This window comes from Homo sapiens, chromosome 11 (genome assembly GCF_000001405.40).
Source record: "Homo sapiens chromosome 11, GRCh38.p14 Primary Assembly".
In the NCBI taxonomy this organism is placed as follows: domain Eukaryota; kingdom Metazoa; phylum Chordata; class Mammalia; order Primates; family Hominidae; genus Homo; species Homo sapiens.
The window spans coordinates 130,287,359-130,312,619 of NC_000011.10; the positions used below are offsets into that span (position 1 = coordinate 130,287,359).

The window sequence follows — 25,261 nt, forward strand, 5'->3', positions numbered from 1 at the left end:
CCTATTACCAAGAGATGATAATAATGGACTTGTGTGGTCATGTAAGTCTTAGCTCTCTAGTCTTCATTAGTTTTTTCTCTGTGCTTAGTTTTGAGGTATATTACTAAATCCAGCATGTTCGATAAGCACAAAAACAGTAAGAATGGTGAAAGTACTAACAAACAGAGGTAAGTGTTGGAAATAAAATGCAGAGACATATTAATAAAGAATAAGAAAGCTTCTGCTCCCATAAATGGGATCAATATTAAATAGAATGAATGACTCTAAAGTACTTGCAACAAATCCTGCAACATATGAAGATGATATACCTACATGATAACTGATAATAGTAAGAGAAGGAAATAATGATTGGAGAAATGGAAAAACTTTGGAGTATGTGGTTAGAGTGGGATTAACACTAGACAGCGGATTTTAAACTCGAATCTCAGGCCTCTTTACACTCTTAAAATTTATTGAGAACCCAAAAGAGCTTTTATTTACATGAACTATATCTAAAAATATTTACCGTATTATAAATTAAAACTTAGAAATTTAAAAAATTATTCACCTAAAAATAACAGTACATTTTAAGACAACATAGTTTTCAAGAAACTAAATTTTCTCAGACAAAAAAAAAAAAAAAGAAAGAAAAAGGCAAGAGTAGCACTGATTTTTGAAAATCTCTTTAAGTCTGGCTTATTGGAAATCAGCTGAATTCTCACATGTGTTAAGTCTGTTACAGTATCACACTTCAGCTGAGCACAGTGGCTCACACCTGTAATCTCAGCACTATGGGAGGCTGAGGCAGGCAGATCACCTGAGGTCAGGAGTTCAAGACCAGCCTGGCCAACATGGTGAAACCCCCGTCTCTACCAAAAATATAAAAATTAGCCGGGTGTGGTGGCGCACACCTGTAGTCCCAGCTACTTGGGAGGCTGAGGCAGGAGAATCACTTGAACCCAGGAGGTAGAGGTTGCAGTGAGCCGAGATCATGCCACTGTTCTCCAGCCTGGGTGACAGAGCCAGACTCTGTCTCGGGAAAAAAATAAATAAATAAATAAAATAAAATAAAAAAATAACATTTCAAGTAGGTAGCCTCTGGAAAACTCCATTGTATATCTAAGAATAAGAAAGAAAAATGGCAAGTAGTGTCTTAAAACACTGCTAGAAGACTGTTTTAATCTCACGTACTCTCTAAAAGGTTCTCGGGATCCCCAGGAGAGTCCTCAGACTACATTAACCACTGCTTTCAAGTTTAATGTTAAAAATCAGGACACAGGCCTGGTGCGGTGGCTCATGCCTGTAATCCCAGCACTTTGGGAGGCCGAGGCAGGCAGATCACCTGAGGTCAGGTGTTCGAGATCAGCCTGCTCAACATGGTGAAACCCTGTCTCTACTAAAATACAAAAATTATCCAGGCATGGTGACACGCACCTGTAATCCCAGCTACTTGGGAGGCAGAGGCACGAGAATCGCTTGAACCCGGGAGGCGGAGGTTGCAGTGAGCTGAGATCACACCACTGCACTCCAGCGTGGGTGACAGAGCGAGACTCCGTCTTAAAAAAAAAAAAAAAGAAAAAGAAAATGAGGACATGGTTAGGAATTTGTAGACAAGAACTTAAAACAAGACTAAGCAAGGTGAATGGACTGCTGTTTAAATAAACCACAGAAAGACAGTTCCACATCTGCAAGATTCTACCAAATCTGCATAGCAAAAAGTAGTAAAACAATGTGATGTGGGAAGTGCTCAAGAGGTCTGTTTTGCCATTTGTCACTGAAGATGGATGGGTGTAATGTTTGTGTATTTGAGGCAGGGGTCCCTTACCTGAACAAATCTGCAACGTAGATATAAAAAATTTAGGTGGCTGGGTGCGGTGGCTCACGCCTGTAATCCCAGCACTCTGGGAGGCTGAGGAATGTGGGTCACCTGAGGTCAGGAGTTCAAGACTAGCCTGGCCAACATGGTGAAACCCCGTCTCTACTAAAAATACAAAAATTCGTCAGGCACAGTGGCGCATGCCTGTAATCCCAGCTACTCAAGAGGCTGAGGCAGGAGAATTGCTTGAACTCGGAGGTGGAGGTTGCAGTGAGCCGAGATCCCACTGCACTTCCAGCTCCAGGGCAATAGAGCAAGACTCTGCCTCAAAAAAAAAAAAAAAAAGATTTAGGTAAAAGACGGTGGTCAAGAGAATGTTTATCTGGCCAAGAAAAATAGAAGCTAATGGGTAGCTTCAGAAGTTAGGTTTCCTTGCAGACTTTAAAAAAAAAAAGGTGGGGGTGGGGCACACAAAACAAGCCAACTAAATTTGCATATCTGTATTGAAGGCCTAGAATTGTGGGGATCGTTTTGTTACCATAGGAGAGCCAGCCTAAGGATGGCAAAGCAAGAACGTATGTCCTCAAGGATGTCACTGAATTGCTAATTTAACCAACTCTGAGGCTGTTTTTTGTTTTAAATAAATGTCCGTATTGTTTAAGCCACCTGATTCGAGGTTTTCTGATAACATAAATTGAATACCCTCATACACATGGCCCATAGGTACTTCAGCAGATCCCAAGTGAATTCATTATCATCTCTCAAAAATGCATTCTTCTTTTTCAAGTACTCTGGTCAATGACAGGACCAGCTCCAAAAAGCTAAAACCCCCAAATGTCCATGTTCTAATCCCTTGAATTTGTGAATGATACCTTTATGGCTTTGCAGATGTGATGAAATATCTTGGAATGGGGAGATTATCCCAGATTACCCAGGTGGGCCCTAAATACAGTCACAAGTCTCCTTATACAAGGAAGGCAGATGTAGACTTGGCACACACAGGAGAAGGTGAAAAGTGGGGAAGAGGAGGTGGTGTAGCAACGTGAAGACCAGTGATGAATGATATAGTCACAAGATGAATATGCCTGCAGCCCACATAAGCTGCAAGAGGCAAGGAATGGTTTCTCTCCTAGATCCTTCGGAGGGAAGGAGCACTTGCCAACATCTTGATCTCAACCCAGTTATGATTATTTCAAGCTTCTGTGAGGAAATTACTTCGTTGTTTTAAGCCATCTAATTTGTGATAATTAATTACAACAGCCACAGAAAACTAATACAATTTCTCTTCCCCTTTTCCTCCTAACACAGACCTGGTCACCAAGACCTATCTCAAATCCATCCCTTCCTTTCTCCACTGCCACTGCCTCTGCCTCTGCCTTGGACTACTGAAACAGCATCCTGATTGATTTCCTTGCCTTCAGTCTCACCGGCCTTATATTAATCTTTACTGTTATTTAAACTGTCTCTAAAATACAATTATCTGAGTCCAGACACTTATTAGCCCACAGCTTGATAATCACGCTGAACTATCAACAGTACTTGGTACTTTTCAGTACTATCCTACACTCTATCACATCTGACATGGACTGATTTAAATACATAAAATCCTTGAGATCTGGCAGAACTATTATTATCTCCCATTACATTGATGGGGAAATTGAGGCTCAGAGAATTAAATGACTTGGCTAAGCTTACAGGGCTAGTAACAGCAACTTATATCCTGATGGTAAACTTTCTCGCTATTTTATAATCTCTCTATTATGCTTTTAGATACTTTAGGCTGCTATCTCTCCCTCCCTGCTCTGCAAAATGAACTCTTTGCCCTAAACTGCTTTTGACTCATCATTTTCCATATGTATCATACATATTCCCACTCTCCCAGCTCTGGTCCCTTTTTGGAATTCCCTCCTCACTGATCTCCACAGGTCAAATTCTACTTTATTTTGTTTTCCCTTCTAAGCTAAATGTCAGGAAAGCCTTTGTTGTTTTTTTTTTTGAGACGGAGTCTCATTCTGTTGCCCAGGCTGGAGTGCAGTGGTGCAATCTTGGCTCTTGAATTGCTTGAACCTCTGCCTCCCGGATTCAAGCAATTCTCGTGCCTCAGCTTCCTGAGTAGCTGGGATTATAGGCGCGTGCCACCATACCCAGCTAATTTTTGTATTTTTAGTAGAGACAGGGTTTCACTATGTTGGCCAGGCTGGTCTCGAGCTCCTGACCTTGGGATCCGCCCACCTCGGCCTCCCAAAGTGCTGGGATTACAGGTGTGAGCCACCGCGCCCGGCCAGCCTTCCATTTTTATGTCACTTTCAGATGTACTTTCAAATATATTCTTTGGATCTTAAAATCTTAATGAAACTAAAGATGAGAAAAATAAAGATTAGAGAAAATATGGCCTAACAGGGATTCAAATTCAGAGCCTCTGACTTTAATTAAATCCTATCCTCATTTTATCATTAAACCAAGCTGTCTTTCTCTACACTGAACTCTGGTGGTAGTTCTGTTGGGACTCACTGATCCTGTGTTTGATAGCATATCAATTTAGGTTTACCAGGGTATACACTCTAATCTCTCCAAGGATTATTCCAATATATTTATGGAATCAATCACATCTGTACTTCCAGCATAGGTTCTTTAAAAATCACTTTATGAATGCTTTCCTGATATAATTCATGTACAATAAACTGCATAGTGGACAATTTGATGAGTTATAACATATATATCACCACCACAATCAAGATAAGGAATACTGCCACAATTTCTGTAAGTTTCTTTGCAGTCTCACCTTCCTGTCCTTGCCAGGAATTATCAATGTGCTTTACACTTTAGTAGCTCCATTTTCTAGAATTTTATATAAATGGGATTATATAGTATGTACTCTTTTTTTCTGGCTTCTTTCATGGACATAATTATTCTGAGATTCATCCATGCTGTTGAGCGTAAGGATTTTTGTTCTTTTTATTGCTGAATACTATTTCATTGCATGGATGTAACACAATCTGTTTATCATTTAATTGTTGATAGACTTGAGTTGTTTGCAGTTGGGCTATTACGAATAAAGCCGCTATGCACATTTGTGTACAAGATTTGTGTGGACAAACCAGCAGATGTTCTTAATTATTTCTGTTTCTATACCATTTATGTGTTATACTCTTAATATGGCTTATTATACTGCAGTGATTCCATAAAAAAAGTCACTATCCACCAGTATAATACTTTACATACAAGTGATCAGTAAGTAGTTTACAGATTTTGCTCACCCATGGGCCTAATGAGACTTGACAGAAAAGGCTGAGCCTTGTCTATATTCTATAACTGCCTAAAAGAGTACATACACTGGTATGCAACAAGATCATAAGAAAAAAATTAAAAATTAAAAAAATAAATAAAAGTGTGCATTGAAAAATTGCTGAATAAATGTTCTTGATTTACGGTGCTTATTTTTGGGATAAGCGTATTATTCTTTTATGTTCAATCACATTATTATTAAAAGCTTAATTGCAAATGATAAACAAAACATATAAATTAGTATTTTAAGAGTGTAACATACACAACATACAAACGTTTTGCAGGAAACCTGTTAAAACAATTGATTTAGGAATGGAAGAACCACAGCTCAACGTAGAAACTTCATGTTAAACTTACATGGAAAATGTATACGTGTACTCAAACTAGTGAAAATTACAACTCACCCACCCCACCAAAAGTTATTAAAATAAGACGTTTCTCACTATTAAGACTCTTTTTTACTTTACAAATAGAGCAGTACCTCATATTTTATATTTTGCTCTAAACTTGTCACTCTTATCAATCTAAGTAAAGGCATTTTCCCATGATATGAACCAAGTTTTTAGATTAGATTTACATGAGAACTCATATTTGGGAACATGCTTTTTCTTTTTCTGAACACTACTGAAAGTGTTTTGTGATCTTTATTTCACACTAGTTTACTTCCCTTAAGTGTTTTTTAAGTTTTCAAGGAGAATTTCAAATGGACTACTTTATCTGAGTTGTAAAAAGATAATTTTAGGCCTGGAACAATGGCTCATGCATATAATCCCAGCACTTTGGGAGGCCAAGGCAGGAAGCTCATTTGAGCCTAGGAGTTCAAGACCAGCCTGGGCAACACAGAGAGAACTTGTCTCTACTAAAAATTAAAAAAAAAAAAAAAAAATTAGCTAAGTGTGGTGCTGTGCACCTGTAGTCCTGGCTACACAAGAGGCTGAGGCAGGAGGATCACTTGAGCCTGGGAGGTTGAGACTACAGTGAGCTGTGATTTCACCACTGCACTCCAGCCGGGATGACAGCAAGATCTTGTATCAAAAAAAAAAAAAAAAAAGACCATTTGGCCGGGTGTGGTGGCTCACACCTATAATCCCAGCACTTTGGGAGGCCAAGGTAGGTGGATCACCTGAGGTCAGGAGTTTGAGACCAGCCTGGCCAACATGATGAAACTCCATCTCTACTTAAAGAAAAAAAAAAAAAAAAAGAAAGAAATTAGCTGGGTATGGTGGTGCACGCCGTCATCTCAGCTACTTGGGAGGTTGAGGCAGGAGAATCAGTTGAACCTGGGAGGCGGAGGTTGCCGTGGGCCAAGACTGCACCATTGCACTCCAGCCTGGGCAACAAAAGCGAAATTCCATCTCAAAACAAACAAACAAACAAACAAAAAAACCATTTTATAACTAGTTGTTTTTCAATGAAACAAAGATTCTAATCATTTTACTCTATGAATAAGCCCTTTCTAGTTCAGAGATTTGAAAAAGTAATGGAGAGTTATCAATAAATCAATTAAATCAGAAACATTAAATGATTAGAATTTCCTCTCCTTGTTAGTAGTCACCAAGTCATGCTGATTGTTACTTTCTACATCAAGAGAAGATAAATTAATGTACATTGAATAACTCCCACCAAGTGTCACTATCTCACTCTGGACTCACAAACTCTGGTAAAAGGATTTTTTATATCCAGTTATAGGCCGGGCACGGTAACTCACACCTGTAATCCCAGTACTTTGTGGGGCCGAGATGGGTGGATCTCTTGAGGCCAGGAGTTTGAGACCAGCCTGGCCAACACAGCGAAACCCCGTCTCTACTAAAAATACAAAAATTAGCTGGGTGTGGTGGTGCACGCCTGTAACCCCAGCTACTACTCAGGCGCCTGAGGCACAAGAATTGCTTGAACCTGGGGGGCAGAAGTTGCAGTGAGCTGAGATCACGCCACTGCCCTCCAGCCTGGGTGACAGAGAGAGACTCTGTCTTAAAAAAATAAAAATAAAAATAAAAATAAATCCAGTGTTAAATGAGGAGACAGAAAATCAAATTAAATTGTCCATTTCCCTATAACTAAGTTAACAAAACCAGGATTTACACAAAGGTCTATATGACCAAAAAAAAAAAAAAAAAAAAAAAAAAAAAAATCTTCAATTCCCAGTTATTTCTCCCCACCCCATTATGTTGTTGTTTATAATAATTTAACCCATTTATGCCAGAGGTTGCAATTATTTGAATTTTTGCAATCAGACCTTAGCGATGACCTTGAGCAGGACAGAAATAACTCCCACATGCTTAGTGTTCCAATAATGGAACGGTAGGCAAAACAGGTTAATCAGAGTACTTAAGGGATATCTGCTATTCACATCATATTATTTTATCTAGAAAGAAAGACTGAATAGAGGGCCTATCTATCTTATTCATCCATTTGGCTCCTTACATGAGCAAGTAAAATTCAAGTCAGTTTTAGTCAACTAGCATTTAAAGAGCTCCTTATTTTCCCTAAAGAGTTTTTAAGCGTCCACACCAAGTACTCAAGAGTTCAACTGCATATACGCTTTAAAATATGTATACAAGTGGAAGCAACGTCAGCCCCGAGAACTGAGTAGCTGTACTGTGTGACGTCGTGATCTAGGCACTTCTTGGACAGCAATGTCTCACCTGCCAATGAAAAACTCCTGCGCAAGAAGATCAAGAAGCAGAAACTCAAACTGCGGCACCAGAACCTAAAGTTGCAGGGGCCTCAAATCTGACCCTGTCAGAAACTCAAAATGCAGATGTGTCTGAAGAAACAATGAGAGGTAGAAGGGTTAAAAAATGAAAACATTCTATGAATGTGGGCTTATCAGAAGCTCCAAATGGAGACATGTCTCAAGAGGCAGTGGAAGATATAAAACCTAAAAAATCTCCCCAGAAATCCACCGTATTAACCAATGGAGAAGCAGCAATGCAGTCTCCCAATTCAGAATCAAAAGAGAAAAATGGTGAATGATGCTGGGACTGATACAAAAAAAGCAAAAACTGAAAACAAAGAGGAATCTGAGAAGAAAGTGCCGAGACTCCTAAAGAAACAGAAAATAACGTAGAGAAGCCAGATAATGATGAAGATGACAGTGAGGTGCCCAGCCTGCCCCTGGGACTCACAGGAGCATTTGAGGATACTTCATTTGCTTCTCTACATAATATTGTCAATGAAAACTCTGAAGTTAAAAAAAAAAATGGGTTTTACCAACATGACTGAAATTCAGCATGAAAGTATCAGACCACTTCTGGAAGGCAGGGATCTTCTAGCAGCTGCAAAAACAGGCAGTGGTAAAACCCTGGCTTTTCTCAAACCTGCAGTAGAACTCATTGTTAAAATTCATGCCCAGGAATGCATGCGGAGTCCTTGTTCTCTCACCTACTAGAGAATTAGCCATGCAAATTTTTGGTGTTCTTAAGGAGCTAAAGACTCACCACGTGCATACCTATGGGTTGATAATGGGTGGCAGTAACGGATCTGCTGAAGCACAGAAACTTGCTAATGGGATCAACATCACTGTGGCCACACCAGGCCGTCTGCTGTATCATATGCAGAATATCCCAGGGTTTATGTATAAAAACCTGCAGTGTCTGGTTATTGATGAAGCTGATCGTATCTTGGATGTTGGGTATGAAGAGGAATTAAAGCAAATTATTAAACTTTTGCCAACATGTAGACAGACTATGCTCTTTTCTGCCACCCAAACTCGAAAAGTTTTGAAGGTTGGCAAGGATTTCTCTGAAAAAAGGAGCCATTGTATGTTAGTGTTGATGATGATAAAGCTAATACAACAGTGGATGGTCTTGAGCAGGGATATGTTGTTTGTCCTTCTGAAAAGAGATTCCTTCTGCTCTTTACATTCCTTAAGAAGAACCGAAAGAAGCTCGTGGTCTTCTTTTCATCTTGTATGTCCGTGAAATACCACTATGAGTTGCTGAACTACATTGATTTGCCCGTCTTGGCCATTCATGGAAAGCAAAAGCAAAATAAATGTACGACCACATTCTTCCAGTTCTGCAACACAGATTTGGGAACACATTGTGTACGGATGTGGTGGCAAGAGGACTGGACATTCCTCAAGTCAACTGGATTGTTCACTATGACCATCCGGATGACCCTAAGGAATATATTCATCGTGTAGGTAGAACAGCCAGAGGCCTAAATGGGAGAAGACATGCCTTGCCCATTTTGGGCCCAGAATAATTGGGTTTTCTTCTACTTGAAACAATCCAAGGTTCCATTAAGTGAATTTGACTTTTCCTGGTCTAAAATTTCTGACATTCAGTCTCAGCTTGAGAAATTGATTGAAAAGAACTACTTTCTTTGTAAGTCAGCCCAGGAAGCATATAAGTCATACATATGAGGTTATGATTCCCATTCTCTGAAACAGATCTTTAATGTAAATAACTTAAATTTGCCTCAAGTTGCTCTGCCATTTGATTTCAAAGTGCCTGCCTTTGTTGATCTGAATGTCAATGGCAATGAAGGCAAGCAGAAAAAGCGAGGAGGTGGTGGTGGATTTGACTACCAGAAAATCAAGAAAGTTGAGAAGTCCAAAATCTTTAAACACATTAGCAAGAAATCATCCGATAGCAGGCAGCTCTCTCATTGAAGACATGCCTTTCTTTCATCTTGAATAACTGTTCTAAAATGAATTTTTTCCCCTTGATTTAATAAGATTTTTGTAGCCTTTAGAATTTAAACTTATCTAACAAGAGCATAAATTGACTTGGGTTGCAAGCACTGAGCACTGTAACTTCTATCAAGTCTCTTTTTATTTTTGGGATATAAAACAGGCTCTAATTTTCTTGGTTGCCCAAGAGCAGAGCAAGAATATTAGGTCTTTCTTGTGATTATATAATATTTTAATTTTAAATATCCCTCCCTCATACACACAAATGTATGTTACTGTTTTAATATAATTAAATTTTTGTACCTTTTAAAAAAATATGTACACAAGTACTGTGGCTTTCGCCAACTTACCTCTGCACAAGCAGTTAACTTTATATATGTCTTGGTATGGGGTTGAATTGGGTTCTCTAAAAAGATACGTTGAGGTCCTAAACCCCAGTGCCTCAGAATGGGACCTTATTTGGAAATGGAGTCTTTATAGAGGTAATCAAGTTCAAGGGAGATCATTAAGGTGTCCTCGTATAAAGGGGACATTTGTAGACAGACATGCACATAGGGAGGATGCCCCATGAAGACAAGCCAAGGCACTACCAGAAGCAAAGAGACGTGGAACAAGAGATGCTTCCCTCATGGTCCTCAGGAGGAACCAACCCTACCTATGCCTGATTTCGAACTTCAAGGCTCCACAACTATGAGACAAAAATTTCTGTTAACAGCCACCTACTTCGTCATAGTTTGTTACGGCACCCTAGCAAACTAATACATGTTGCTTTTTAATAAACTAAATGTTTTGACTAAAAGTCACAGATTGTCAGAAGAGATAAAAGCATTCTCAAATATATGTTTTTTATAAGAAACACACTTTAAATAAAAAAAGACAGATATGGAAGAACATATATCATGCAAACAGTACGTACAAGAAAGCTGGAGTTGGCTTACTTTAATATCAGATAAAGCAGACTTAAGACAAAGTATTATCAAAGATAGAGGTGAGTAATAAAAAATGTGTATGCTTCAAAATAAAACACTGACAAAATTAAAGGGAAAGATAATTCCACAATAATAATTGATGATTTTTTTTTTTTGAGATAGGGTCTTACTCTGTTGCCTAGATTAGAGTGCAGAGGCACAATCACAACACACACAGCCTGGACCTCCCGAACTCAAGCAATCCTCCCACCTTAGCTTCCTGAATAGCTGGGACTACAGGCATGCACCACCTCACCCAGATGATTTTTGTATTTTCTTGTAGAGACAGGGTTTCATTATGTTGCCCAGGCTGGTCTCAAACTCCTGGGGCTCAACGAATCCACCCACCTTAGCTTCCCAAAGTGCTGAGATTACAGGTGTGAGCCACCATGCCCGGCCAAAAGTTGAAGTTTTTTTTTTTTTTTTTTTTTTTTAAAGACTGAGTCTCGCTCTGTCACCCAGGCTGGAGTGCAGTGGCATGATCTTGGCTCACTGCAACCTTCAACTCCTGGGTTCAAGCGATTCTCCTGTCTCAGTCTCCCAAGTGGCTGGGACTACAGGTACGTGCCACCACGCCTGGCCACTTTTTGTATTTTTAGTAGAGACGGAGTTTCACCATGTTGGCCAAGCTGGTCTCGAACTCCTAACCTCAGGTTATCCGCTTGCCTCAGCCTCCCAAAGTGCTAGGATTACAGGCGTGAGCCACCACGCCCAGCAATAGTTGAAGATTTTAATATCACCTCTCTGCAATTATAGAACTGAACCACACAGACACACAGACACCCAGACACACACACACACACACACACACACAAAACCATCAGTAAAGATAAAAGATCTGCAGCTTGGGAAACATGGTGAAACCCATCTCTACAAAAAATACAAAAATTAGCCACACATAGTGGCATGCACCTATAGTGCCAGCTACTTGGGAGGCAGAGGTGAGAGGATTTGTTAACCCTGGGAGGTGGAGGTTACAGTGAGCCAAGATCGATCCACTGCACTCCAGCCTGGGTAACAGAGTGAGACCCTGTCTCAAAACATTAAAAAAAACTGTAAAGGGCAATCATCGTCACCACATTGACATTTATAGTACAGAATATACATTCTTTTCAAGTGCAAAGTGGTATGTTCACCAAGAAAGATCATATGCTGGGCCATAAGACAAATCTTAATAAATTTTAAAGGAATGAATGCACAGAGTATGTTCTTTCACCAAAACAGAAAAAAATAAGTAATAAAATATCAAGAAAGCCCTAAATATCTGGAAATTAAACAATGCACTTCTAAATAATAACCCATGGGCTGGTCAAATAAGGAATCAACAAAGGAAACTGGAATATATTTTTAACTGTAATTCAGCTAGGCATAGTGGCACGCACCTGTAATCCCAGCTACTTGGGAGGCTGGGGCAGGAGAATCACTTGAACCCAGGAGGCAGAGGTCGCAGTGAGCCGAGACCGTGCCATTGCACTCCAGCCTGGGTGACAGAGCGAGACTTCGTCTCGGGGACAAAAAAAAAAAAAAAATGATGGTCTCTAAATATCAATGACTTACCACCTCATACCCATTTGAATGTCTAATGTAATAGTAAAAAAAAAAAACAAAATAACAAGTCTTGGCAAGGATGTGGAGAAATTAAAATCCTTGTGCATGGTTGGTGGGAATGTAAAATGGCATAGCCACTATAGAAAACAGTATAGAGGGGCTCCTCAAAAAATAAAAAATAGAAATTACCATATGATCCAGCAATTCCATTTCTGGGTAGATACCCAAAAGAAGTGAAAGCAAGGACACACCAGTATTTGTACATTAATATTCAAAGCAGCATTATTCACAACAGCCAAAAGGTAGAAGCAACCCAAATGTCCACAAGAGATGAATGAATTAATGAGATGTGGCATAAATACACAATGGAATATTATTCAGCCTTAAAAAGGAAGGAAATTCAGATACATGCTGCAACACAAACAAACCTTGAAGACATTATGCGAGTGAAATAAACCAATAATTAAGGAACAAATACCATATGATTCCGATTACACGATGTACTTAGAGGACACTCAAATTCAGAGACAGAAAAGTAGAAGGGTGGTTGCCTGGGGATGTGGGGAGACAGAGATGGGGAGTTACTGTTTAACGAGCACAGTTACACTTCTGAAAGATGAAGAGAGTTCTGAAAGATGGGTGGTGGTGATGGTTGTATAATAATGTGAATGTACTTAATGCCACTGAACTGTACCCTTAAAAATGGTTATGATGGCAAATTTTATGTTACGTGTATTTCACCACACACACACACACACAAATCAATGGTCTATGTGTCTACCTTAGCTAGAAAAAGAGCAAAGAAAACCCAAAATAAATAGACAAAACAAAGCACAGACATAAATTAAACAGAGAAGCCATAGGAAAAATTAAAGCCAAAACTTGGTTCTCTGAAAAAAATAAGCAAAATTGATAAACCTTTAGCTAGACCAATTAAGAAAAAAAAGAGGAAAAAAGTGAAGGCGGGGTATCAGAAGGGAAACCTGTGAAAGAGATAGATACACAGAATAACCAGCATAGTAGGAGTTACTTCAGAAACCAAGGGTACAAGGTATTTCAAGGAGTGGTGATTGACAGTGTCAAATGCTGCTGACTGGTCAAATAAGATAGAAACCAAAGTCTATTTGATTTAGCCACAGAGGAATCACTGATGACCTTATAATAGCATATAAGAAAAAAGTAGAATTAGAAGCAAGATTGCCATAGAAAAAGAAAGAATATACAGACATGAGGAAGTGAAAACTGTGAGTAAAGATAATTCATCATAAAGTAGCTAGGTTCTAAAAATAGAGCAAGGGGGTTAGCTGGACAAAAGTAAGGGGTCAGGCGAGGATACTGATTTTTTACAGAATGGACAAGCTAGAAAATGTTTTTTTCCCTTGTTACTCTCTCAGATTTTTTTTTTATTAAAGTAAAATATAAACAGAATGTTTTGATTTTTGTTGGAAAAGACACAGAAAAGAGGGAAAGGTTAAAGATACAGGAAACGGGTGATAACAGATGGTATAAGGTCCCTAGATAGGTAGAAGGAAATGGGATTCAGAGGATGAGTGAAAGGATTAGCCTTAAACAGGCGGAGGCCCAGGCTGGGGAGATGGGGAGAGGAAAGAAAGAGTACAGCTATAGTTAAGTTTATTGGTGGCGTGGTGAGAAGTAGCTAGAGTTCTTGTCTGGCTTTGGCTTTACTCCTCTTTCAAGTTTTAAGAGGCAGACTCCTGAGAGAAAAGATGATGAAGTAGAATTTTTAAGAAAATGAAACATGAAAAATAACACGTGGAGGCCGAGTATGCTGGCTCATGCCTTTAATCCCACCACTTTGGGAGGCCAAGGCAAGCAGATCACGTGAGCTTAAGAGTTCAAGACCAGCCTGGGCAACATGGTAAGATCACGTAGATGCGGGCATCTACAAAAAATATAATAATCCGCTGCGTGTGGTGGTGTGCATCTGTGGTCCCAGCTACTTGGGAGGCTGAGTTGGGAAGATGGCTTGAGCCTAGGAGGCAGAGACTTCAGGGAGCAGAGACTGTGCCATTGCACTCCAGCCTGGGCAATTGAGCCAGATTCTGTCTCAAATAAATAAATAAATGTGGAGAAAAAAGTAGAAGGATGTATGATAAGAGGCACTGAAGACCCAACTGCTTTGAACCATTTTATATTAAAAGTAGTAACAATAGGCAAGGTGCAGTGGCTCATGCCTGTGATTTCAGCACTGTGAGAGGCTGAGTTGGGCAGGCTGCTTGAGCCCAGGAGTTTGAGACCAGCCAATGCAACATGGCAAAACCCCATCTCTAGTACAAAAATTAGATGGGAGTGGTGGAGTGCACCTGTAGTCCCAGTCACTCAGGAGGCTAAGGTGGGAGGATCTCTTGAACCCGGTGAGCCCAGGAGATCGAGGCCATAATGAGCCACGATCACACCACTGCACTCCAGCCTAGGCGACAGAGGGAGACCCTGTCTCAAAAAAAAAAAAAAAAGTAATAATAATCATTAGTTTATAGTTAATACTTACATAGTACCCAATATGTGCCAAGTATTGTTCTAAGTACGCTTTACATATTATGTAACTTAATTTTCACATAAACTTTTGTGATAGCTATCACCAGGTATCTTCATTTACCAGTGAGGAAAAGGCAGCATAGACAAGTTAAGGAACTAGCCACACAACAGGTAACAGAGTCAAGAGTTGAACCCAGCTAGCATGCTAACTGGTGCTCCTTACACTATGCTATACTGCCTCTCAAAGTGAAGTTAGGTAAAACTAGTGGCGGAAAGTAGAAAGAAGGAAAAAACAATACCAAGTGGACACAAAGACAAAGAGAAGCACTGATTCCTGTAAATAAAAATAATTCTCTTGGAAGAATGGGTTAGTTTTATACAGCATGTGAAGTGCACCAAAGACAAAAGAAACCGTCCTGATTCAGTAATGGAAAGCCACAAAAAGGAAATGAGCAGTGGGAAGGTCCAAAGCAGAAAGTAAGAAGAGCAAAGAGCCAAAGAAAAAGTAAAACCCAGGAAAAATGTAAAAAGGAGAAAAAGCTGTAAGTAGAAGAAACACATACACACAACAGTAACCACCACCAGTAAAAAAGTGAAATGAGGGCCGGGCGTGATGGCTCACGCCTGTAATCCCAACACTTTGGGAGGCTGAGGCAGGTGATCACCTGAGGTCAGGAGTTCGAGATCAGCCTGCCTGACATGGTGAAACCCCGTCTCTACTTAAAAAATACAAAAACCTGCTGGGTGTGGTGGTGCGCACCTGTAATCCCAGCTACTCGGGAGGCTGAGGCGGGAGAATCTCTTGAACCTGGAAAGTGCAGGTTGCAGGGAGCCAAGATCACACCATTGCGCTCCAGCCTGGGGGACCAGAGTGAAACTCCATCACACACACCCACACATACACAAAAGTGAAATTAAAGCAAAGTAAGTAAATCTAAGTCCCTGAAAAACTTATTCTTTATTTTCTTATCAAAGAGCACGATTATTTAATAAAATACACTATTGGATATGCTTATCTGCCAAGAATAGGCAAGGATCAGATACCTAACAGGTTAAGATTGGAATAAAAGAAAATAATTTTTAAAAGGAATCATCTAAAGTTGTTTCAGAAGCTAGAGGGTAGTAGTTCCACAAAAACTAGATTCCAGAGACTCACAGTCTTAGTTACACGTTGCCAAGATGTTTGTAGTTATGCTGAGTGCGTAAAAAACTATCAAAACCAAATCAATAGCAAATCACTTCAGCATTAAAAAATACATACCAAGGCCGGGCACAGTGGCTCACACGTTTAATCCCGGCACTTTAGGAGGCCGAGGTGGGTGGATCACCTGAGGCTGGGAGTTCAAGACCAGCCTGACCAACATGGAGAAACCCTGTCTCTACTAAAAATACAAACTTAGCTGGGCGTGGTGGCGCATGCCTGTAATCCCAGCTACTCGGGAGGCTGAGGCAGGAAAATTGCTTGAAGCTGGGAGGTGGAGGTTGTGGTGAGCCAAGATGGCGCCATTGCACTCCGGCCTGGGCAACAAGAGCGAAACTCCATCTCAAAAAAACCAAAACCAAAACAAAAAAACCCAAAAAAACACCCCCCAAAAAATATCATTTAATACCTGTAGAAGGATAGCAATATCCTGAAGTAAAAGAATATCAAAATTGTAAAAAGGCCAGGTATCAAACATCTGTAATTTTAAGTTTTTTTTTTAAAGCTATATAAGGAAAGTATTAAAAGGGAAGAATATTCAATGTGGAGACAAAGAAGGATGTTATTCTCTAATTAATAAGCTTCAGCCACCCATTTCACTCTTGCAAGACAGAGTTATCAACGTGAAACAACATGATAATACAAGTCAGTGATTTACTCCAGGGTAAGTTATGTAAAACTGTGCCAGCCAATATCAACATTGTAACTAATAATATTAGTGAAAAAATTAATTTAACACTCAATGTGGCCTTCAAGCATAATACAAATCTAATGTATTTTTTTAATTTTTAAAGGCACACATACAATCATTATTTTAAATCCTATGGCTTGGAATATTTCTAGCTCATTGCTTAAAATGGGGTGAAGTATTTCTACTATAAAGAACAAAGAAAAACTAATGTAACTTTTAGCTTAACAGGAGATAAATTTTAAACAATTATTCTGAAGTACCAAGGACTATCCGTTACAGTTGTGAATGTGGTAGCACTTAAAAAGCAAAAACACCCCATAACGCTTATATAGAGTGTATTCAATAGGGGTTACAAAATGTCAGGAAACCACAGGCGGAAATTTGATATATGAAATATTTATAAGAGTATTAAAAAATCATATTGGAAGGAGCTTAATTAGAAGCCTCCTAAGTAATGAGGGAACCCTCTTTACAACAGTCTTTAATGCTTGACCATTTTCAGTGATAAAAGACTAGGAAGAGTTAATAAATTTTTCAGAGGATCATCGTACACAGACATGGAGGATACAGCATGTTACTGGTTTTTACACAGCTGCCAATACTGCTTTATAATAAGAATATACATATATTTTTCTCTTTTTTAAAAAAAATATTGATTTTTCCAGTGCTCTACATATTCAGAGAAACTTCTCTAGAAACAAACTATAGAAATGATCCCTGAAAGTACAGTCCTAAGAATATATTTTTAGTCAGTAACATTTTATTTTGAAAACTTTTAGATACAGCAAAATTTAAAGAATTTTATACCAAGCTGCAAAGGAGGAAGTCAAACTGTTGCTGTTTGCTGATGATACAAACTTATACCTAGAAAACCCTCAAGATTCATTTGAAAAGCTCCTAGATCTGATAAATGAATTCAGTGAAGTTTCAGGATACAAAATTAATGTACACAAATCAGTAGCACTGCTATACACCAATGATGACCAAGCCGAGAATCAAATCAAGAACGCAATCCCTTTTACAACAGCTGCCAAAGAAAAATTAAAATACTTAGGAATATACCTAACCAAGGAGGTGAAAGATCTCTACAAGGAAGACTACAAAACACTGTTCAAACAAATCATCGATGACACAAACAAATGGAAACACATCCCATGCTCATGGATGGGTAGAATCAATATGGTGACAATGACCTTACTGCCAAATGCAATCTACAGATTTAATGCAATTCACATCAAAATACCATCATCATTCTATAGAACTAGAAAACACAATTCTAAAATTCATATGGAACCAAAAAAGAGCCCACATAGTCAAAGCAAGACTAAGCAAAAATAACAAATCTGGAGGAACCACATTACCTGACTTCAAACTACACTACAAGGCTATAGTCACCAAAACAGCATGGTACTGGTATAAAAACAGGCATGTAGACCGATGGAACAGAATAGAGAACCCCAAAATAAAGCCAAATACTTACAGCCAACTGGTCTTTGACAAAGCAAACAAAAACATAAAGTGGAGAAAGGACACCCTATTCAACAAACAGTGCTGGGATAATTGGCAAGCCACATGTAGAAGAATGAAACTGGATCTTTATCTTTCATCTTACACAAAAATCAACACAAGGTGGATCAAAGACTTAAATCTTAAGGCCTGAAACCATAAAAATTCTGGAAGATAACATCAGAAAAACTCTTCTAGACATTAGCTTAGGCAAAGAATTCATGACCAAAAAACCAAAAGCGAATGCAACAAAAATAAATGGGACCTAATTAAACTAAAAAGCTTCTACATAGCAAAAGAAATAATCAGCAGAGTAAAGAGACAACCCAAAGTGGTAGAAAATTTTTGCAAAGTATGCATCCAACAAAGGACTAATATCCAGAATCTACAAGGAATACAAACAAACCAGCAAAAACAAACGAACAAACAAAAACCACCAATCCTGTCAAAAAATGGGTTAAAAAAAACATAGACAATTCTCAAATGATATAAAAACAGCCAACAAACACATGAAAAAATGTTTAACATCCCTAATTATCAGGGAAATGCAAATTAAAACCACAATTAGATACTACCTTACTCCTGTAAGAATGGCTATAATTTAAAAATTAAAAATAATAAATATTGGCATGACTGTGGTGAAAAGGGAACACTTTTACACTGCTGGTGGAAATGTAAACTAGTACAACCACTATGAAAAACAGTATGGAGATTCCTTTAAGAACTAAAAGTAGGCTGGGCACGATGGCTCACACTTGTAATCCCAGCACTTTGGGAAGCTGAGGTGGGCGGATCACCTGAGGTCGGGAGTTCGAGACCAGCCTGACCAACATGGAGAAAACCCACCTCTCCTAAGAATACAAAATTAGCTGGGCGTGGTGGTGCATGCCTGTAATCCCAGCTACTTGGGAGGCTGAGGCAGGAGAATGGCTTGAACCCAGGAGGCAGAGGTTGCAGTGAGCCGAGATTGCGCCACTGCACTCCAACCTGGGCAACAAGAGCTAAACTCCACTCAAAAAAAAAAAAGAACTAAAAGTAGAACTACCATTTGATCCAGCAATCCCACTACTGGGTATCTACCCAAAAGAAAAGAAGTCATTATGTGAAAAAGACACATGTACACACACTTACAGCAGCACAATTCACAATTGCAAAAATATAGAACCAACCTAAACGCCCATCAAACAACGAGCAGATAAAGAAAACGTGGTATATTTACACCATGAAAACTGAATGAAATACTGGCTTTTGCAGCAACTTGGATGGAGTTGTAAGCCATTATTCTAAGTGAAGTAACTCAGGAATGGAAAACCAAATATCGTATGTTCTCACTTATAAGTGGGAGCTAAGCTACAAGGACGCAAAAGCATATGAAGGATATAACGGACTTTGGGGACTTGGAGGGAAGGGTGCAAGTGGGGTGAGGGATAAAAGACTACACATTGGGTACAGCGTACACTGCTCAGGTGACGGGTGCACCAAAATGTCAGAAATCACCACTAAAGAACTTATCCATATAGCCAAAAACCACCTGCACCCCCAAAACTATCAACATTCAAAAAAAAAAAAAATCAAAGAACAAGCAAAAAAAAAAAAAATTATAGTTGAATACCTGAATAGCCATACCTAAAGCCCACCATTAACATTCTACTGTAGCCCGGGTGTGGTGGCTAACGCTTGTAATCCCAGCACTTTGGGAGGCCAAGGTGGGCAGATCACAAGGTAAGGAGACCAAGACCATCCTGGCTAACACGGTGAAACCCCGTCTCTACTAAAAATACAAAAAAATTAGCCAGGCATGGTGGCAGGCACCTGTAGTCCCAGCTGCTTGGGAGGCTGAGGCAGGAGAATGGCGTGAACCCAGGGGATGAAGCTTGCAGTGAGCTGAGATCGTGCCACTGCACTCCAGCCTGGGCAACACAGCAAGACTCTGTCTCAAAAAAAAAAAAAAAAGTCTACTGTTATTGTTTTATCACATACCTATCCATCCATCAATCCATCTTGATTTTTACTCTACTTTTAAAATGCCTTTTAAAGTAGTATCTAAATGCAGTTTCTGAAGCAAGGGGTCAGAAACTCCCGCACCTATGAGAAAGGAAAATGATATACAATCATGCGTGGCATGTGTCCCTCAATGATAGACCACAAATACCACAACCGTCCCATATTATAATACCATATTATTTTTGAGACAAGAGTCTCATTCTGTCGCTCAGGCTGGAGGGCAGTGGTGCAATCTGGGCTCACTGCTGGAGGAATCACATTACCTGACTTCAAACTATACTACAAGGCTATAGTTACCAAAACAGCATGGTACTGGTGTAACCTTCCAGGTTCAAGCAATTCTCCTGTCTCAGCCTCCCAAGTAGCTGTGACTACAGGTGCATGCCACCACACTTGGCTAATTTTTGTATTTTTAGTAGAGACAGGGTTTCACTATATTGGTCAGGCTGGTCTCGAGCTCCTGACCTTAGGTGAGCCACCCGCCTCCGCCTCCCAAAGTACTGGGATTACAGGCATGAGCCACCGTGCGCAACCCTGTAATACCATATTTTTACTGCACCTTTTCTAGGTTTAGATATGCTTAGATATACATATACTTTCCACTGCATTACAAAAGCCTACAGCATTCAGTACAGTAACATGCTGTACAGATACGTGGCCTAGGAGCAACAGGCTATACCATATAACCTAGATGTAGAGTAGGCCATACCATCAAGTTTTGTCTAAGTACACTTTATGATGTTCATACAATGACACAATCGCCTAACGACGCATTTCTCAGAACATATCCCCGTTGCAATCTCTGAGGTTGTTACAGCATCAGTCATGTAGTTCCGTATTCATGGTGACTGAAAATTTATTCAATTTTTATGACTTGTTACATTTAGTTGTGAGGTGGAGCAAAGCAGCTAAGTGCTAACTCTAAACAGCCTTGAATTTGAAACCTGGGTCGGCCACTTATTGTGATACTCTAGGCAAGTCATTTAATGCTTTTAGATACCAGTTTCCTTACTGCAAAATAAGATACTAGTAGCAATGTCAAAGTGTTAATGTGAGATTTAAATAAGATAATGTATAAAATGTTTAGCACAGCTGGCATACAGAAAGGGCATAACAAATGTTAGCATTATTATCAACACTGTATTAGTTCATTCAGCCTACACAACAGGTTCTAGCTGCTACATGGCTACACATACCCATGCAACTGTTTATAGTATTCTTCTTCATCACCTTATATGTTCTAAGAACCTTGGGTAGTGTATGTATTTTACTGAGATTAAAGACAGAATGAGGGTGAATGGGTCCAAGTGCAAGCATTCTCCATCTTCCCACTCCACTCCCTAATGGAACTAGATGTTCACTCTGTTATTGAAAGCAGTGATTGTGGAGTCCTAGTAAGGGAAAAGGAGTCAGGCGGGTGGGAAAAGGGTACAGCAAAAAGAAAAAGCAGATAAGGTATAAGTCTGCCTTTCTTCATGGTCCAAGACACACAGCCCTCTTGCACAAATAACTCACAAGCTTTCTGCACTCAACTTATCACCAGACTCTCAGCTGACAGAAAAATGCAAGTTAGCTCACTGCAACCTTGGCCTTATCAGTACTGCACATAGCCCTCTCTGCAGCACACAGCAGAAGCATCATCCTGTAACATGCCCAGCAAGCCATTGTCTCCTGGCAGTCAGCTTCTCTCTTGCTGATCTGCCCGTTGCACCCTTGCAACCAACCTACTTTCATACTTTCTCTAATAAATCTGCCCTTCTTTACCTACAATTGCCTTGGTAATTCCTTTACCACCTGCAACGCCAGCCTCAGCTAGTGTGACCTATGACAGTGAGGATGAACACAGGAAAACACACTACAGGCACAGTTTTGCTTTTCAGCACTTGGTTGACAGGAGGCTGATAAACTGCCTAATTGTGCTCTGCTTACTTTAGATGAACACTGCTCCCTCTTAAAACTTCATTTGAGATCACATAATTATGAATTTATATCAAATTTGGTCCAACCCAAACAAAATGTGTTATCTCCACTGATCACATATCCAAATGCCTTTTTATCTGTACATAGCATATTTATGCCAGTTTTGTTGTAGATGGAGTCACCTGGGCGCAGTGGCTCACGTCTGTAATTCCAGCACTTTAGGAGGCCAGGATTACACTTCAGGAGGCCGAGGCAGGTGAATCACTTGAGGTCAGGAGCTCGAGACCAGCCTGGACAACATGGTGAAACCCCATCTCTACTAATACAAAAATTAGCTGGGCGTGGTGGTACATGCCTGTAATCCCAGCTACTAGGGAGGCTGAGGCAGGAGAATCGCTTGAACCCAGGGGGCAGAGGTGGATTGCAGTGAGCTGAGATCGAGCCACTGCATTCCAGCCTGGGCAACAGAGGGCGACTGCATCTCAAAAAAAAAAAAAAAAAGTTAAAAAAGTAGATGGAGTCATAAAACCTCTACCAACTACCTGCCTCTTTAAAGACATGATTTAAGTAAAAGCTACAGTTCTATTTTTATGGAATTTTTATTTAAAAATATGGTATCTAGGCCTACGGCTACAGGCTTACATGTGTAATCTTAGCACTTTGGGAGGCCAAGGCAGCAGGATCACTTGAGCTCAGGAGTTTGAGAGATCAGCCTGGACAACATAATGAGAATCTATCACTATTTTAAATCACTATTTAAGAAAAAGAGCTGGGCGCAGTGGTGTGTGCCTGTAGTCCCAGCTACTCAAGAGGCTGAGGCAGGAAGATCCCTTGAGCCCAGAAGTTCTGGACTGTAGTATCCTATGCCGATTGGGTGTCTGCACTAAATTAGGCATCAACATGGTGACCTCCAGGGAGTGAGGGACCACCAGGTTGCCTAATGAGAGAAGTGGCCCAGGTCAGAAACAGAGCAGGTCAAAACTCCCGTGCTTATCAGTAGTAGGATCACATCTGTGAATAGCCACTGCACTCCAGCCTGAGCAACACAGTAAATCCCCCGTCTTTAAAAAAAAAAAAAAGTAAGCATGGAATCCACTTCTCTGCTAACTTCTAAAAACTAGTCTTAGTTCTCTTTGCCAGAGGAAGCAGAATCTAATTTTAAAATTTAAAAGTACTTCTATGTGGCTTCACATAACATAATTTGTCTATTGCTAATTCTTCTGAGCTTGATGTGAGAATGTAGTAGATACTAAAAGGAGTATGGTAAAGGTAAACAATACTTCATCTTTAAAAACTAATTTTAATGAGGTTTATCCAAATATAGTTTTTTTTTGTTTTGTTTTGCTTTTGAGATGGAGTCCCGCTTTGTCACCCAGGCTGCAGTGCAATGGCGCAATCTTGGCTCACTGCAACCTCCCCGGTTCAAGCAATTCTCCTGCCTCAGCTTCCCAAGTAGCTGAGACTACAGGCATGTGCCACCATGCCCGGCTAATCCAAGTATAGTTTTAAAACATTATTTTGACTTCTACACTATGTACATACTTTACATATTCAAAAATAAAATCCTAAGTAAAAACTGAAACCTATGAACCATATCAAATTGGTAGCATAACCAGAGAAAAGTATTTCAAGTGACTTTTGAACACAGTACTCATTATACATTCTTCATGCAATATAGTCTAAATACGAAAATAAATGCAAAGAAATCTTAAACTACATGAAGCTTATTGGTATTAGCAATACCAGCACTATAATTTTAAAATGATTTTATGTATACAGTGGGAGAAAGCAAATAAGTTTATTATTTTTTTTGGAGACAGGGTCTCACTCTGTCATCCAGGCTGAAGTGCAGTGGGGTATGAACATGGCTCACTGCAGCCTCAACCTCCTGGGCTCAAGTGATCCACCTGCTTCAGCCTCCTGAGCAGCTGGGAACACAGGCACACACCACCACGCCTGGCTAATTTTTTTATTTTTTATAGAGATGGGGTCTCATCATGTTGCCCAGGCTGGCCTTGAACTCCTGGGCTCAAGCAATCCTTCCACCTCGGCCTTTCAACGTCCTGGGATTACAGGCATGAGCCACTGTGCTTGGCCAGTTTATTAACTGTATTAAAAACCAAGATTTTCATTTAAGACAAGAGACAAATATAGAGTCAAGGAAGAAAAAGTCTGCTTGTTAAATAGGAATTGGAATATCACTCTGAACTCATGATTAAACAAGCAAAAACCTTTTTCTTAGTTCTCTCCTCTCAAAGCACCTAGAAGCAATGATACTGCAGCAGCAACGAATATGCCAAACATCCAGAACTTGGTTTCTATATACGATTTCTCATTAAAAAGAACCAAGACTCCCTGGATAAACAGCTCTTTCCAGAGGTGAGCAAAGAAAGTATAAGATAAACCCTGGAGTAACTCGTGTCAGAAAGCACTCCAAGATTAATGGGGAGCAGGGGTGTCAAGACACACAATAGTCAGCTTGAAATGGTTCCTACTGACCAAATCTGGGACAATTTGGTCATTAAAAAGAAAGACGACTGTAACTGGTTATAAAACAAGGAATAAATTAAAACCCATGAGAGTCTGAAGTGGTATCATTCACCCCTGCCCCAAAAAACATCATTGGGGGTGGCTATTTCTCCAGCTCTTTACTATGAATATTGAAAAGTAAAGAGATTAAATTTAACATTTAATTTGCATTTTGGGGAAGAACAATAGTTTACCTGCACTTAATGAAGGAAATCTCTTCCTTACAGAGAACCTCCAATAACTGATTTAAGCAAAAGTCATCATGGGTGCTAAAAACCACTAAGCAAAAGATTGTCAGAAACTGGGTATTTGCTTAGTGTCCAAGTTTTACCCCAAGATTACATATTAATCACAAACTGGCAAACCACACCTTTACAACAGATCAGTAGTCAGCACTTTAATCAAATGGTTACATTTAGCATCATTAATAGTGTGGGAATCTGACATTGTGTGCCTCCTATATTATGCAACAGGAGGTACACAGCATCACCTATTAAATATTCTTGCCAAAGGAAGTTTTACTTTAAGCTAATTAAGCCTTCCTTTACACCTAACTTCCAGTTAATAGGAAATTCAGGGAGAAAGAGGAATAAACGAAATGACATTAGGAGGGCACAAATCCAGAATGTGGGTATATTTTACAAGACAACTGGTTTGGTCAATTACGTGTCAGAAAAAA

The 25,261-nt window shown here is 39.6% G+C and overlaps 1 protein-coding gene and 3 pseudogenes across 24 annotated transcripts in view, besides 1 other annotated feature; 2 read left to right on the plus strand and 2 right to left on the minus strand.

Annotated features, from left to right (window-relative positions):
* Positions 1-25,261, minus strand: part of ZBTB44 (zinc finger and BTB domain containing 44) — an 88,241-nt gene that overhangs the window by 60,682 nt on the left and 2,298 nt on the right. For 2 of the 24 annotated variants that reach the window (XM_047426843.1, XM_047426842.1), the window contains exon 1: positions 1,414-7,179. The exons of the other annotated variants lie outside the window; for them this stretch is intronic. The gene's annotated coding sequence lies outside the window, so the exon portion shown is untranslated. Of the gene's footprint in view, positions 1-1,413; positions 7,180-25,261 lie in introns of those variants that run through there. 24 annotated transcript variants of the gene reach the window in all.
* Positions 7,643-10,026, plus strand: DDX18P5 (DEAD-box helicase 18 pseudogene 5; annotated as a pseudogene).
* Positions 8,253-8,785: an enhancer, noted in NCBI's record as "OCT4-NANOG hESC enhancer chr11:130165506-130166038 (GRCh37/hg19 assembly coordinates)". NCBI's record gives its function as "activates a minimal SCP1, AML or CMV promoter by ChIP-STARR-seq in primed H9 embryonic stem cells {active_cell/tissue: H9 hESC(primed)}" and the evidence as "EXISTENCE:reporter gene assay evidence [ECO:0000049][PMID:30033119]".
* Positions 17,279-17,356, minus strand: LOC124902848 (uncharacterized; annotated as a pseudogene).
* Positions 22,822-23,116, plus strand: RN7SL778P (RNA, 7SL, cytoplasmic 778, pseudogene; annotated as a pseudogene).